Here is a 15,559-nt window from a genome sequence, read left to right as displayed (position 1 = left end):
ATGCCATTTGGTCAATCTTCTCTAAATCATTCATTCACTCATTTAGTCACCATTCGAGTGCCTACTATATACTACCCCAAGGACCAGTAATCAAAGTGATATAACTGCTTCTATCCACAAATGCTGGTTGTCTACTTGGAAACACAGATATGGGAAAAATAAGTAAAACAAAGTGCTAGAGGAATGACAATATAACTTACAAATTCCAAGTGATACATCCAGCTGCTGCAGAAAAACACACCCTGAGAACTCAGGTGCAAGTCCCTCTAAGTAAAGGCCTAAACCACCAGTTCTATTTTTTTTTTTTTTTTTTGACTTTGGCACTTACTATAGCTCAAGAGTTTTCAGTTTCCTACATAACCTCAGCTCGTGAGGACTGTCCACTACTCTAAATTAGCAAGTAAAAATGCTAAAAAGTCTTAACTCCATTCATTACAGCAAACACTGTAACCTTTTAAAATAAGTACCTTACCTAGAAACTCAGCATTCTTAGTATTTTCAGAGTTCTTAGCAAATTATTTAATGTTATTTAAAGAAATGGTTTACATGACACCATTTCATGCCAATTCTCTTTCAGTGACTATAATCTCAGTGCTTTTATTTCAAATAATCTATTCATAAGATTTCAACTTGACTTCTATTAACAGGAAGTATTCAGATTTAGTTTATCTAGAATAGATTTCAGCTACATTATTGATAATGATATTTTAATGATAATTTTATGAGGCATTCACTTACTTGTATAATTCTATCCAGATGACCATAATGAGCAGGGCATAGATAAGCATATGTTTTAGAGGTGCTCTAAGTTATGGAAAGTGCAGGTCCTACTAGAAAGAAACATTGTCTTTTTTGTTTTGCTTGGCATGAGCCTAGGAAGATGCAAACCTACCTATTGCTGTTAGCGACAATGCTACCAGGAAATGCAGACCAATACTAAACGATCTGAATTCTAATCTCAGTTTGAGCACCTGTATTGATCCCTACATGAAGATACCTACACCTGATCATGCATATAAGTAAGCCCAAAATTATGTTTTATGTTTAAGTCTACAAATTAGGCTGAATATCACTTGCAAATAAAGGAGATCTAACTGATGCACACTCACAAAAGGAAGAAGGTAGGAAGGAAGTGGTACACAGGACAAGTAAAAACCACTCTATATTTATTCATTATAGAACACACTTTTCTTCCCAGAAAGAAAACAAACAGTCTGAGGTATCCCACATTAATAAATCCCATTCTGTGGCTTTACATCCTGAATTTCTGTTATTAATCAAGGTTCAGTATCATTATACACAGTGATTAAAATTTTTCCCTGAGATCATCAAGGCTGTGCCTTTGACATAGAAATACCTTACCCTACCAAAATTCAGGAGAAAGCATAGAAAACTAAAAGTCTTTTTGGTGGTAGAAAAGGCAGACAACTTAGGCAGAATTCCTGAGAAAAAGGTGCAGAGTCATTAAGCCACCAGTTAAATTTTACCTGGCTGTGAACTGTTATCCCTTCTACATTTCTAAATATTCTGGGAGGAAAATTCATCTTATTGCATAGAAAGATACTTTTTCACAAGGCTATGCACAAAGCATCTTTGCTTTTGCTAGCTGCCACAGCCATCTTGACGCCTCAGTTTCCAGTAAAATGCAAAGCTTGAGAGGTACAGGCAGCCTTTCCCCCAGTGACATATGGAAAAGAGAAATCATCCATTTCCTCATGGATGATGAGGAAAAATGTGGTTGTCATATTATGTGTCCGGTCAGGCCTCTGATACTTCTCCAAATGGTCTGGCATCATAACAGCTACTGATCCTCCACAAGTAGGAACGAGGAAAGACTTACTGGATTATCACCTCAAATCCCAGCCTAATCAGCTCCACAAAGCATAAGGCAAATGGACATTGGCACGTCATCCAGTTTGGGTGCACTGAAAGTCAGCTCTGAACGAAATGCCACTTCCAGCAGCCCCTCCCAAGCTGGAAGAAATCACAAGCTGCAAAAGAGCCAGCCCGCCCAAATAGTCATTCTTAAATTTTGTTGTGTCCCTCCGCCCACCCATCCCCGTAAAATTGCACAATGGAATGATCGTGTTCCCTACTGAAGACTTCCCCTCCTAATAGTAAGCAAGCAAAGGTTTCCCTAGTCTGCCCCATATTGAACTGTAGAAGAAGGCAGCCCAGCCCAGGATGGGGGGAGCGAGAAAGGAAGCAGACGAGTGAGCTGGATGTCAGGCAAACATGCTTAGAAAGGATGTGGTAGTGTGTAGGCCTCTGAAGACAGAAACAGCAGGGGAAGGCTGAACAGTGGTGGGTGCTCTTCCAGAGACACTTCCAGGTGGCACTTCCAGGTGGCACTTCCAGAGACATTGGGTGGTTGCACTTCCAGAGACATCAACCCATGGATGCAATGTTCCCAGTTCTCTTTCTTAGGTTTTCTTGAGGTAGTTCTGACAGGCTCTTGCCATGTCTTTCAAGAAGTTAGGAACTCCATTCTGCAAAGGAAATGAGACTGTCATTTCTATGTCTTCACAGTGGTCACTCTTGATTCTTTGGGATGTGGCAGAAGGTAAACAATGTTGGCTTTAGGACGAACAAAAATGAATAGGCTCCCTAACTGGATTTCAACAGAATGTTGTTGCAGATGATGACAAAAAGTAGGACTGAGGACAAAAGTAAGACCAGTCAACAGGAACTTCTGTTGCAAAAAGGCCTTATATGTTAGCTTTTTCTAGGAAAAAGCGAAGATGTTTCTGAAACAGTGTTTCTGGAAAAAAGAAAACACAAGAAATGGGCTTGGGCTGGATTGTTACATTCTTCCAAAGAAATGAAAGCACTTGCTTTACTGAATTAGAAAATGGTAAGGATTGGGGATCAAGGAGCAGGATATATTATTATTTAGTTAATGTTGAGCACTGGGCAAGACTTTTCCTAAATATTGTCTTATTTACTCCCCCTCTATGCAGTAGAAGACATCTATCTTCATTTTTAAAAAGGAAGAAATGCATGGCTTCCTTAAATAAAACAAGACAGTCAGTAGCAGAGCCAGGATTTGAAATTGCGTCTGTTTGACTCCAAAGTTGATGTGCTTTTTCACTCTTCCAAGGAATCTGTTGAGCTCTCTAGTAGTAGATCTTGTGCAAAGCAGGCTGATGGTCCCCATAATGCCAGGCTCCTGGGCAGTCTCTAGTGATACAAACTACCACTGCAGTTCCCTCCCTTATAGAGAAAAAGAAAAAAAAAAAAGGGCAACAACAACAAAAGTGGAAGCTTTCCTCAGGCTTGGACACATCTGGTTGTCTCCAAGCCAGGTCAGTCTGTCTTATTCCCCAGTAAGCAGAGGAATATAGGCTCCAAAGGCACTATTGTTCCTACTAAGAGCAGACTATTGTCCAGAAGTTCCAGAGAGTGATTCTGGCGGGGTCCTGGGGCACAAGCAGGGAGAGGCTGGCATTCCAAGCTGACAATTCTTTGTCTCTTGTCCCAGCCTCCGTCTTGGATGTTGGCAGCCCCAGCCCTAACCAGAGTCACTCAACCAAACTCTTCATAAAAGAGCCTCATTACGCCTGAGACAATGTGTCTCTTCAGCCTGACAGCCCCGCGGGCTAAGTCAACATTTGTCAAACACACTCCCCCATCCCTCCCCCCGCCCCACCTCCTGGGATCTCACCTTGGCGGCCCAGTTAATGAGCCAGGACGGAATTTGGCCACCCGGGTTATCGAAGTAATACATGAAAACTAGAGAGGGAAAGAAAGGACAATTCAGAAAAAGGAAAAATACCAGAAAAATATAGCAACAAAACTGTGCAAACTTTATATCTTCATATTCAAGCTCAGAAACTGCAGAGGGAGGTAGCATATAATTCAGATGGACTTCTCTCCATTGACTGCCCTTATGGCATACTTAAATATAGGCACTTTTGAAAACAGCCATAGACACATTTTGCTGCTATTTATTAAATACCTGGCAAGTGCTGGACACTTGAATATAGCCTCTCATTCAATTATTCTAGCAATCCTAAGGAGATGGTAAAATTAATCCCATTTTATAACTGATGAAACAGATACTCATAAAAATTAGGTGACATATTCAAGGTGACCATCTAACTATAGTTCAGATTTTTGCCTAGGACTCAAGGCCACACTCATTCTGGTAGAGCAGGTGGCCTCGCACCCCACTCTCTGTCTGCAGCTTTCCTCCCTGGGGGCTGAAACTCAAGCTGGGCAGGTCTTGAGTAGCTCTGAGTTGGTACTGAGCCAGAGCTGAGACCTCCAAGACAAACCTGCCAGCTTTCTTGCCTACCCTTAGGCCCAGCGTATGTATCCACAGGACCAGCTGGAAGTGACTTTCTAAACTCTCTGGCTTACTTATAATGGTCTGGTTTCATCTGGACAATCCATGAGTCTGGAGAAAATAGACTGGGTCAGAGTTAAACATCAACCTCATACTCTACTCAAGTTTGTTGGGGTGGAATGAGGCTCTCTCTAGGTGCTGATCCTGGTTTGCTCTGCAGCTTTGCCTGTCCTCTGACCTTCAGGGATACGCTTCATGTACTCGACATGTCCCCCCATCAGCCTGGCCCTCCCGTGGGGGACCCCTGGCTGGGTGCACTGACAGGCACCATGGGTTTTACCTTTGCTCCCCTTCTTGCCGTCACTCTCGATCGCCAGGCTCTGCTTGTATTGCTTCACCCGGATCACCCCAGACCTCTCGCCAAGCTGAGGCATGGAGGTGCTCCGGGCCAGGATCACATGGATCTTCCTCCCTTCCATGTCCAGGTCTCGCCGCTGCCGAAGGTAGACATACTGCATAGCCAGTTAAGGCAAGACACCAACGCCAGCATTGTAGACAGACAGAAGGAAAGCGCCACAAGCTGGAAGCAAAGGGAGGTGATTCTGTGCCTCCCACTTGGCATTTGCTCCTTTCTACCACTAGTTCACTGACGTGCCCTGTCTCCATACCTGCACTGCAAGACTGTGCCTCACACCACCTAGTATTCTCACCAAAGAGCATGTATTACTTACCTGTGAGTGATCCCTTCATGCTTTTAATTATGTGAGGAAACCACATTTCCTTTCTCCAAGAAGGCACTGGGAGATGACAGAGGAATGGTCACTTAACAGCTGTGTGGTCCTAGGTAAGCTACTCAGCCTTGCTGAGACTCAGATTCCCTATGTAGGAAAGGGAGTAACACTGCCTTGCAGACAGGCTTGGTGGGGGCATTAGAGAAAGACCTGGGCAGAGTAAGCACTCGACAGACAATGGTGTCATTCCTCTTTGTTCTGGCCTCACCCAATGCTCTAATTACTGACCTTTATGCATAGTAAATGGTCAAGCAATGTTACAGCTGATGACCATAGGAAGACATGGGACTACATGAATATTTCGTAGGCAGATGTCCTCTCTGGGCTAACACTAGTTTACCAAGAATAACAAAACCATTTCATGTCCATCAGCCTTGACAGAAGAACCCTTAAGTTTACGGCACTATTCTAGGGAGGATAATGAAAGTCTATGAAACAACAGGAATCACTACTTATCGAGCCTTTATCATGTAACATCATGCACTTGACATACAGCTTAAATTTGGATCCTTACAAAGACCCTGTGAGTTTGGTATGAGTATCCCCATACTACAGATGACAAAAGTGAGGCTCAGAGAGGAAAAGAACCTTGCCAAAAATCCCACATCCCAGCTGAAGTGATGAAACATGAATTTTTATCCCAGATCTGGCTCCAAAACCTACTTAGAATTTCATAGTTGGATGGAGCTCAGATATTTAGTTTGTTAGTTACACTTTCATAAAACAGAATTTTGGGTTTCCCACTCAAAGGAATCAAAAACCTAAAATAATCAAAAAGTCACTACGCACAACACAATTACACTTACTATAACATGGCAGCCGTCTCAGCCTCCACCCACCTCAGTGTCTTTTTTTTTTTTTTTTTTGAGACAGAGTCTCACCCAGACTGGAGTAGAGTGTCACGATCTCGGCTCACTGCAACCTCCACCTCCTGGGTTCAAGTGATCCTCCCACCTCAGCCTCCGGAGTAGCTGGGATTGCAGGCGCCCACCACACCCAGCTAAATTTTTTTGTATTTTTAATAGAGACAGGGTTTCTCCATGTTGGCCAGGCTGATCTCGAACTCTGACATCAAGTGATCTGCCCACTTTGGACTCCCAAAGTGTTGGGATTACAGGCGTGAGCCACCCGCGTTCAGTCCCACCTCAGTGTCTTGACAGCGCCCCCTGTTGCCCCACCCTCACATTGGACAGTCTATTGCTCCATGCTCTTATACACTAATAAGTAAAGTTCTTAAATGTTTCAGGAAAGAGATGTTGATTTGTCACTGGGTTCCTTTCTCCTACACCTTTTACTTTTTCCTTTTAGCAAATATTGTTCCACTCTCTCCCCCAACTTTCTCAGCTCATGTGATAGATATCATCTGATACTCCACGGAGGAAGAATTATCTTGATATAGTGATTAAAATTTGGCAGAACACCTTTGAAGTGTTGGCAGTTCATCTAATTCAGTGGCTTCCAAACTTTTTTTTGACTCCAAGAGACCCTTTGCTAAAAGGATCTTACATGGAAATTGAACCTGTAAAACACTCCGCTGCTGGGATTGAAGAGCATGGTGAAGGAGTCAAAATCTTACCTAGGAGTCATCCTACTTCCATCCTACCCACCCCCAAAATTCCATCCTAGCCCCCCAGCTTAGTCCTAAGGGGGCTTCTGAAGACCTTACAGTGCCAGCCAAGCCTCCCTACATTTCATTCAACTGCTTCATTTCATAAACAAGGACATTGAGGGGAAGAAGCTTACAGTCAGTGTCCAGAGCCAACAATCAAGGAGGGATTTCTGTGGGGTCTACTGAGATGGGGGAGGCGGAGAGAGCTGGAAATGCAGAGGCCTGAGTTCCAGCACCTGCTCTGCCACTAACCACCTATGTGCCTCTGTCCTATCACCTCTTTGGGAGCCCTTTTTCCTTCTGTAGACTGAGGGAGCTGTAACAAGCACTTTTTATAAGAAGTTCCTTCCAGATCCCCAATTCTGTGGCCTGACAATTTCAAGGCCTAGGAAACTTCTTAGGAAAGTAAGAGCTGCTCTCCAGTGACCAAAATTACAGACACTTCATGTGGTTGGGCCCAGAAATCACACTCTGAGCTCTCCAAACACCATACAAGAAGCAATATCTTTAGCAAATGCTGCTGCAAGAATCAGAGACAATGTTATCTGTGCCTGCTGAGAAACCAGCTCTACCTCTCTGCAATAGACTGCAGCTGAGGAACACAGAAACACTTAGAGGGCCAGGGAATGAGTACCTTGTGGAAAGGATACGTCTCTGTTGGACATGGGAAAAGGGTACTTCACTTCCCAGTAGACCACAGTCTCTCCGTTGCATTCTTGTTCATAGAGTTCTAAAGGAAAGCAAAAGAAGTTAATGCATCTGGAAGCCTTTTTAGCTACAACTAATAAGGGTATGACCTCTTAGGCCAAGCATGGTGGCTCATGCCTGTAATCCCAGCACTTTTTGAGGCCAAGGTGAGTCAATTGCTCAAGTCCAGGAGTTCAAGACCAGCCTGGGAAATATGGTGAAACCCCATCTCTATATATAAAAAAAAAAAAAAGCAAAAAAATCAGCCAGGTATGGTGGTGCATGTCTGTAGTCCCAGCTACTCTGGAGGCTGAGGTAGGAGGATCATCCAAGCCTAGCAGGTCAAGGCTGCAGTGAGCCAAGCCATGATTGCACCACTGCACTCCAGCCTGGGTGACAGAATGACACCATGTCTCAAGAAAAAAAAAAAAAAAGATGACCTCTTAGGTTATGATAAACCACTAACTCATAAGGTATAAAATTCTAGAAAAAAGTCAAACCGATTAATTTCCACTGAAAGCTTATTGCCCAGGGACAGAGTCTAGTGGATAGAAAAACACAGCACAAATAAAAGAAGCCAACAAATCTTGGCCATTCTATAGCATAATCAATATTCTTGATAGAATGCAATGAAACAAAATCAGACATCAAAAAAATAGTCAGAGGTTTTAAATTCAGGATAACCACCAGATGTCACTAGAGTACCAATAGTTTTGCTTCTGAGCCCTTTAATTCCCCTTTAGGATTCCTTGATCCATTACAGCTAACCTGGAACGGAGTCACCCAGTCTAGCACATTCATAGGTCGGATATGAAGGTTCCAGAATGAGCAACGTCCTTCTTGAATAGTTAGAGATCAGCAGAACTATGGCTTACCCCAAGTTTCTTTCTTCTCTCCCATGTTTCTTTGCACTATGCCACAGCTAGGGTGACCAAATTTCCCTAATAATCCTTCCGTCTTACTATTATGTGCAAACAGCAGCCAACTCTTGGAGGGAGATAGCAAAGAAATTTAATGGCATGCACACCCTCTGTCCCCAGACTGTGCTGTGCAGTAAACTTCTTTCTACCTCCAGTTAAAGGAGCCCAAAGTCCCTGGAGGAGATGGTAAGGAGGGATAATTTAGGTTTTGAAAGAAAATCTATTAGAAGCACACTGTAGATTAAGGAGTGTGCCAGCCCATTAAGGTCACAGGAGGCTGATGAGAGTCCTTAAAAGAAAGGGAGAGGTGGACATCTGTTGCTTTTACATGCTCAGCATTGATCGCCCCTTGAGCATCTCAATTTTCCTTCAGGGCATCACCCTTCCCCTACTTCTCAGCTGCATGGTTTCGCAAGACTGACTCTGCAGTAATTTCAGGGCTGGGAAAATGAGCAAGACACGGCCATGGTGACGAATTCAGGGATGGCAGATCTGTCCAGAGTCGTAGTTAGTCACTCTAGCAAGTTGAGAGCAAAAAGTGATTTAGTAAAGCTCTCGGATGGACCAGAGTGAGATTTCCAACCTCAAGATTGTTCCAGCAAAGCCTAACTGCTGCTTCCACTGGATGAGAACCCAGAGTGAAAGCTGTTGATGTTGGGGAGCAAACATCAGAGACTCAGCAGTTGTTTTCCCTAAAGTCAGATGCCATCACTGGTCACTGAAAAATGGATCTTCCATGCTGCCTGCTTCCTCACATGGCTCTTTTCCAAATTGAAGCCACATGTGGGTCTTATTGGCAGAGTCTATGTCACATGACTGTATCTTGGCTGCAAGGGAGGCCTGGACAGACAGTGTCTGGCTGTTCCCTTGGATAGGTAAGCATCCCACTGCCCCCTAAATAGGAAGAGTATTTGAGAACACTAAGTTGCCCAAAACCATGATGAATGTCCACAGAAAATAAGCACAAACTCCAAGCTGAGCTGACAAGAGCCAATCCTGGCATCTGGCTGTCATCCCTAGAAAAGTAGAATTCTCCTTCCTCTGGGGTTATTCATATGGTTAGAATATAAATCTGGATCTTCTGGCAGACATCTTGGCCATGACATAAGAATCTGCCTAGGAATTAGGTCAACACAGAAGAAAACAGAGTCTACAGATGGAGAAAGAAACAATCCTGATGAAATTATTTAAGTTCCCTGTTGCAGCTGTCCTCAAAGTTAGAAACCCCTGGACTTTTTTCAATGCCATGAACTAATAAACTCCTTTTTCTCTTCTTACACTGTCTTTAGTTGGCTTTCTGTTACTTGCAACCAAGAGTCTTGACTAAAGGCTTTATGTGCCTTTGGCTAGTTTCATAGTTCCATTCCACTATGACTGGGTTGGCAGAGGCTACTCCAGCTCTAAGTGGCAGGAGAAGTCCCTGTGTGATGTCTTTCATAACACATAACTTACAGGGAAAAATCTAAGACCGATAGCCTGGTCGCCATGCTAGGCCCTGGAGGATCTGGACCCAACAGCTGCCCTAGTTCGCCTAGTAGTAGAAGAACCTACCCTAGCTCTTCGACTACTACTAGTACTAGTTCTATTAGCTAGTTCTACTAGTACTAGCAGTACTAACAATAGTAGTAGTAGAACTAGTACTAACAGTAGTCGAAGACCTAGGATAGGTTCTCTTACTCCAACCAACCCAACAACACCAAACTGCTGGCGGCTATTGAACATATTGCTTCACGCTTTCCTGACCTTACTAATGCTGATCCCTGAGCCTAGAATGCTCTTAACCAGTCATCCTGTCCCTCTCTTACCTCCTCACATACATGTATTCTTCTCTGTTTGGAAAATTTTGATTCAACTCTCAAACCAAAACTTGGACCGCACCTCCTCCCCTTTCATGACAACCTAGATACATGGGAGGATCACACAACTTAAAAGTGGCAGCAAAGGAGCCCCAAGAGCAAACTGTGGAGAGGATCTAAAACTAGGTAAGGAGCAAGTCCTAGCAATAGCAAAAGTGCATTTCAGTCCAACATTTAAAATGCTTTTGTGCCAAAATTTAATAGGAAGCACTATGTAGTAGAAGTTAATTTTATTTTTTTCTACTGGCAAGAATAAATAAAAATAGATTAGACTTTTTTTTTTTTTTGAGACAGGGTCTCCCTCTGTTGTCCCTGCTGAAGTACAGTCTTGGCTCACTGCAACCTCTGCTTCTTGGGTTCAAGCAATTCTTAGTGCCTCAGCCTCCTAAGTAGTTGGGACTATAGGCATGCGCCACCATGCCCAGCTAAGTTTTGTATTTTTAGTAGAGACGGGATTTCACCATGTTGGCCAGGCTGGTCTCAAACTCCTGGCCTCAAGTGATCTGTCCGCCTCAGCCTCCCCACGTGCTGGGATTACAGGCGTGAGTCACTGCATCTGGTCAGAATAGATCTACTTTTTAATGATCAAAAAAAAAAAAAAAAAAAAGCACTGGGTGCAGCGGCTCATGCCTGTAATCCTAGCACTTTGGGAGGCCAAGGCAAGCGGATCACCTGAGGTCAGAAGTTCAAGACCAGCCTGACTAACATGGAGAAACCCTGTCTCTACTAAAGATACAAAAATTAGCCAGGTGTGGTGGCGGGCGCCTGTAGTCCCAGCTACTCAGGAGGCTGAGGCAGGAGAATCGCTTGAACCCAGGAGGCGGAGATTGCGGTGAGCTGAGATCCTACCTTTGCACTTCACCCTGGGCTACAAAAGTGAAAGTACGTCTAAAAAAAAAAGAAAAGCAAGCATCACTCACCTTTAACATACTGGTCCCATTGTTTTCTGTAATCTGAGTCCATATAGATGTCTGCCAGTAGAGTTGGTGAGCAGTCCTCCAGAACACCAAAGACTTTATACTCATAAAGTCCAGTCTTCTATAAAAACAGAACAGGTAGAAATGTCTATTGGTTCCCAAGTTGAGAGAAAGCTGCATTCCACATAATTAAACTAAAGAGCTTCTGCACAGCAAAAGAAACTACCATCAGAGTGAACAGGCAACCTACAAAATGGGAGAAAATTTTCACAACCTACTCATCTGACAAAGGGCTAATATCCAGAATCTACAATGAACTCCAACAAATTTACAAGAAAAAAACAAACAACCCCATCAAAAAGTGGGTGAAGGACAAGAACAGATACTTCTCAAAAGAAGACATTTATGCAGCCAAAAAACACATGAAAAAATGCTCACCATCACTGGCCATCAGAGAAATGCAAATCAAAACCACAATGAGATACCATCTCACACCAGTTAGAATGGCAATCATTAAAAAGTCAGGAAAAAACAGGTGCTGGAGAGGATGTGGAGAAATAAGAATACTTTTACACTGTTGGTGGGATTGTAAACTAGTTCAACCATTGTGGAAGTCAGTGTGGCGATTCCTCAGGGATCTAGAACTAGAAATACCATTTGACCCAGCCATCCCATTACTGGGTATATACCCAAAGGACTATAAATCATGCTGCTATAAAGACACATGCACACATATGTTTACTGCGGCTCTATTCACAATAGCAAAGACTTGGAACCAACCCAAATGTCCAACAATGATAGACTGGATTAAGAAAATGTGACACATATACACCATGGAATACTATGCAGCCATAAAAAATGACGAGTTCATGTCCTTTGTAGGGACATGGATGAAATTGGAAATCATCATTCTCAGTAAACTATCACAAGAACAAAAAACCAAACACCACATATTCTCACTCATAGGTGGGAATTGAACAATGAGAACACATGGACACAGGAAGGGGAACATTACACTCTGGGGACTGTTGTGGGGTGGGGGGAGGGGGGAGGGATAGCATTAGGAGATATATCTAATGCTAAATGACGAGTTAATGGGTGCAGCACACCAGCATGGCACATGTATACATATGTAACTAACCTGCACATTGTGCACATGTACCCTAAAACTTAAAGTATAATAAAAAAAAAAAAAAAGAAAAGCAGCTGATGACGACGTTCATGCCACACCAAACACTGACCTCCTCTGTGGTCTTGGTGACACAATGATAAAAAAGCAGGTGCAGGCCCTGCTCTCAGAGATCTTAAATTCAGGTAGGCAGCAGTGCTAGAGATAGCTATAAGTGCCATCTAGGTAATTTAAATAGGGTAAGAAGAGTTGTGTGATAAATGATGCCTTGCAAGGGCGGGGATGGGGAGGACATCTATGTAATCAGGTGATCAGGAAAGGCCTCTATGAGAGTTAACATTTATCAGAGCATCTTGTTCCAAATGTTGGAAGAAGCCAGCCATAGGAAGATAGGAAAAGCCCGTTCCTGGTAGAAGGAAGGTCCTCAGATTGGTGGGCTGGCATCTTTAAAGAACCTGGGGTCTGGAGAACTCTGGATAAAAGAGAGAGTGGCAGGAGCTGAGGTTAGAGAGTTTGTCAGGGCTGGACCCCAAGGACTTTGTAAACCAGGGTAAGAGGTAAAGATTTTATTCTCATTGCTATGGAAAACTAATGGATGGCTTTAAACAGAGGGATGACCAGATCTGATTCGTAATTCAGTTTAAGAATGACGCAATCAAATTAATTTTTTAAAGGTGATTCTTGCTGCTTGGTAGAAAATAGATCATCAGAGAACAAGGAGATGGGTGAGAAGACCAGTGCAATAGTTCAGATAAGAAATGATGGTGATTTGAACAGGGAAGTAACAACAGTGATGGCGAGGAGTCAGTGATTTAAGGATATATTTTGGAGGTAAAGTAAAAAGGAATTCCTGATAGATCCTGGGGAAAGGGAAAGCAAAGAATCAAGGATAACTTTCATAACCCAAGTTGGGCAGATGGGAATGCCATCTTCTAAGACAGAAAAAAAACTTGGAGAAGAGGTGATTGGTGGGCTTTTGGGGTAATTAAGAGTTCTCTTTTGAACAAGTTGAGTTTAAGATGTTTATTAAGCATCCAAGTAAGGGTGTCACATAGGCAGCTACAGTTCTCGAGAGAGGTTATATTTTAAATAGCCATGTGGCATAGTGAAACCCAACACATTGTTTTATCAATTCCAAGACAGAATTTTTCAACAACTGCTTCTTTTTGATTCTGTATAAAAGACTGAAAATGAAAAACAAAAGAAATCTGCTTCAAATCATATAAGTTCCTTTGATTTGGGAAAAGGCCTTTCTAGATTCCAAAGTACAAGAGAGTTCCCTTGTTTCCTTGGTAAGCCATATTCTTGTCCATGAGGGTCCTGGCCTAGAGTTGCCCCATCACACATTTCACTCTCTGTACGGTGGCAATTTACAATTCCTGACCCTCAGCTTTGCCTAAAGGCTCTATTATTAAAATTAAAGCAATGGCTATTAGATTAATTTCAACACAAAGGCAAAGAAACAAATGAACGAACATAAACTTTTGGATGAACTCTTGCATCCATGTGCTAAGGCCGTGTTACTGGTTAATCATGCATGAATGAAGCCCTCTCTGTAAACACTGTGCCATGGCCTGAGGGGAAGTCAAGGAATAAACATGCTGAATCTTTCTAGAGATCCTGAAGCTTTAAGGGTCTTCTAGCTTGGGTGGTATAACCTAGGGATAAATACATCCCGGTTTAGGAATCTCAGATGTATGTGAAAGTACCTGGCAAAAAATGAATGTAAAATTGAAAATGAATCCATAAGAATCTTCCAGCTCTAAAAGCATGTGATTTTATACCAAGAATTTCCAACCAGCAAATATCAAACTAGTCTATCTGAACCCCTTATGTGCCATGCCATGGATGCCCCAGTAGAAGGGCAGACCTCAGGGTCTGATGAGAGATGTCAGGAAGATAAACATCTTCTCTCTCTTGCCCCCTCCCCTCACACACACAATTGAACTTAGTAAGGATTTATACATACCCACACATTTACACTCATACACACTTGTTTTCATCATAGGCTTTGGAAGGGAGACAAATAGCAATTATTCAAGAAAACTGAGGCCTTGTTTTCCACACATTCTAAGCAACAAGAATTCTTATGTGTTAAGATAATGACCTCCCCAACCTTTAAATAAGTTAGCATTGGATATCTGCATAAATTAAAACACACTGTTCCCTTACACTGGTTCTCTTCTTCTCCTGAATGTAGTTACAACCCATAGTGACTTCCATCCTGTTATATGGCACAGACAATGAGAACAGGAAGTTCTCAAGGAAGAGAAAAATAGAACAACCATAATTTGCGTGAGTACAGAAGAATGAACGATTGCGACAACTTCCTTTAAACATTCCCTTCGAGGCAGAACTGAGCAATGCCAGAGCTCCAGAGGAACCAAATGCTCCATAACACGGCAACACCTTTCCTACTTCATCAATACAATGTCCAAGCGCTGAACAGCCTGGTCCACATTCTTGAATCAAAGCATTTTCTCACCCATTATTTCTTTTTAAAAAGGATCTCAGCAACCACACTCATTTTTACTTCATATTTTAAAAAATAGTTTTTTATAATTAAAAAGTTTATAAAAATGACAAAAAGAATTTTTAAAAGGTGACATGTAACCCCATAATCCAAAAATATCTACTGATAATATTTGACATATTTCCTTTAAGTAAATAAATACATCTGTACATTATCAAACGGGAATCACATGGTATAAATAGTTTGTATTCTTATTTTTAACTAAATATTATACTGAGGTTATGAAGACTCCATACCTAACTCAATTATTCTCCAAAAAAATTTGTTTCCAAATATTTTTATGAAAAAAAATTTCCAGAATATTTATGTTTGTATAGAATAATTGGTCCATAATTCTATTTTTTTTTTTACTACAAATGTTTTCTTACAGATAAATTTTAGGATAAGTAGATTAACATTTTAAGGCTCTTTATACTTTTTACAAACCTTGCAGAACGTGTGCACCAAGTGTGTACTCTCACCAGTTCCTCTCACCAGTTCCAAAGGAGCATCTCACCAGCGTTGGGCACCATTGTTTATACAAACAATTTGATATGAAAAAGCAAAACTTATTTGGCAAAACTTTTATTGCTACTATAATAAGATCTGATGTGTAAGATCTCTTAAAATTAGAGATATAAATCTTTTGCAATATCGGTTTTATTTTTCCAAGCTTACTAACATTTGAATAAATGACTCCAAAGAAGCTTACTCAAGAGATTCTTGGCTTTTCCTGAAGCTCCTCCAGAAAACCACCTCTAACAGTGGCTCAATTTCCTTATCTAGACTAAAATATAATGGATACTTTTCTAATGCTCCAGTTATAAGACATTTAGTTTCCTACAATTCA

At 41.9% G+C, this 15,559-nt stretch overlaps 1 protein-coding gene across 11 annotated transcripts in view, besides 1 other annotated feature; it reads right to left on the bottom strand.

Moving 5' to 3' along the window:
* The window catches only part of PCTP (phosphatidylcholine transfer protein), a 101,665-nt gene that overhangs the window by 74,192 nt on the left and 11,914 nt on the right, over nt 1–15,559 (bottom strand). For 6 of the 11 annotated variants that reach the window (XM_047436500.1, XM_047436502.1, XM_047436499.1 and 3 more), the window contains exons 2-5: nt 11,072–11,189; nt 7,339–7,418; nt 4,629–4,800; nt 3,665–3,732 (exon numbers count right to left, since the gene is read on the bottom strand). In XM_047436500.1, coding sequence (XP_047292456.1) covers nt 3,665–3,732; nt 4,629–4,800; nt 7,339–7,418; nt 11,072–11,189 — 438 coding nt within the window. Of the gene's footprint in view, nt 1–1,149; nt 3,214–3,664; nt 3,733–4,628; nt 4,869–7,322; nt 7,419–11,071; nt 11,190–15,559 lie in introns of those variants that run through there. The other 5 variants (XM_017024913.2, NM_001330377.2, NM_001102402.3 and 2 more) reach the window with 3 other exon arrangements.
* Nucleotides 14,322–14,616: a silencer, noted in NCBI's record as "tiled region #14534; HepG2 Repressive non-DNase unmatched - State 7:EnhWF, and K562 Repressive non-DNase unmatched - State 15:Elon". NCBI's record gives its function as "represses a minimal TATA promoter and a strong SV40 promoter by Sharpr-MPRA in HepG2 and K562 cells {active_cell/tissue: HepG2 | K562}" and the evidence as "EXISTENCE:reporter gene assay evidence [ECO:0000049][PMID:27701403]".

The sequence above is a fragment of the Homo sapiens genome, chromosome 17 (assembly GCF_000001405.40).
Source record: "Homo sapiens chromosome 17, GRCh38.p14 Primary Assembly".
NCBI lineage: Eukaryota > Metazoa > Chordata > Mammalia > Primates > Hominidae > Homo > Homo sapiens.
The sequence above is the reverse complement of the archived record's forward strand: the minus strand, read 5'-3'. Positions and strand labels throughout refer to the sequence as shown.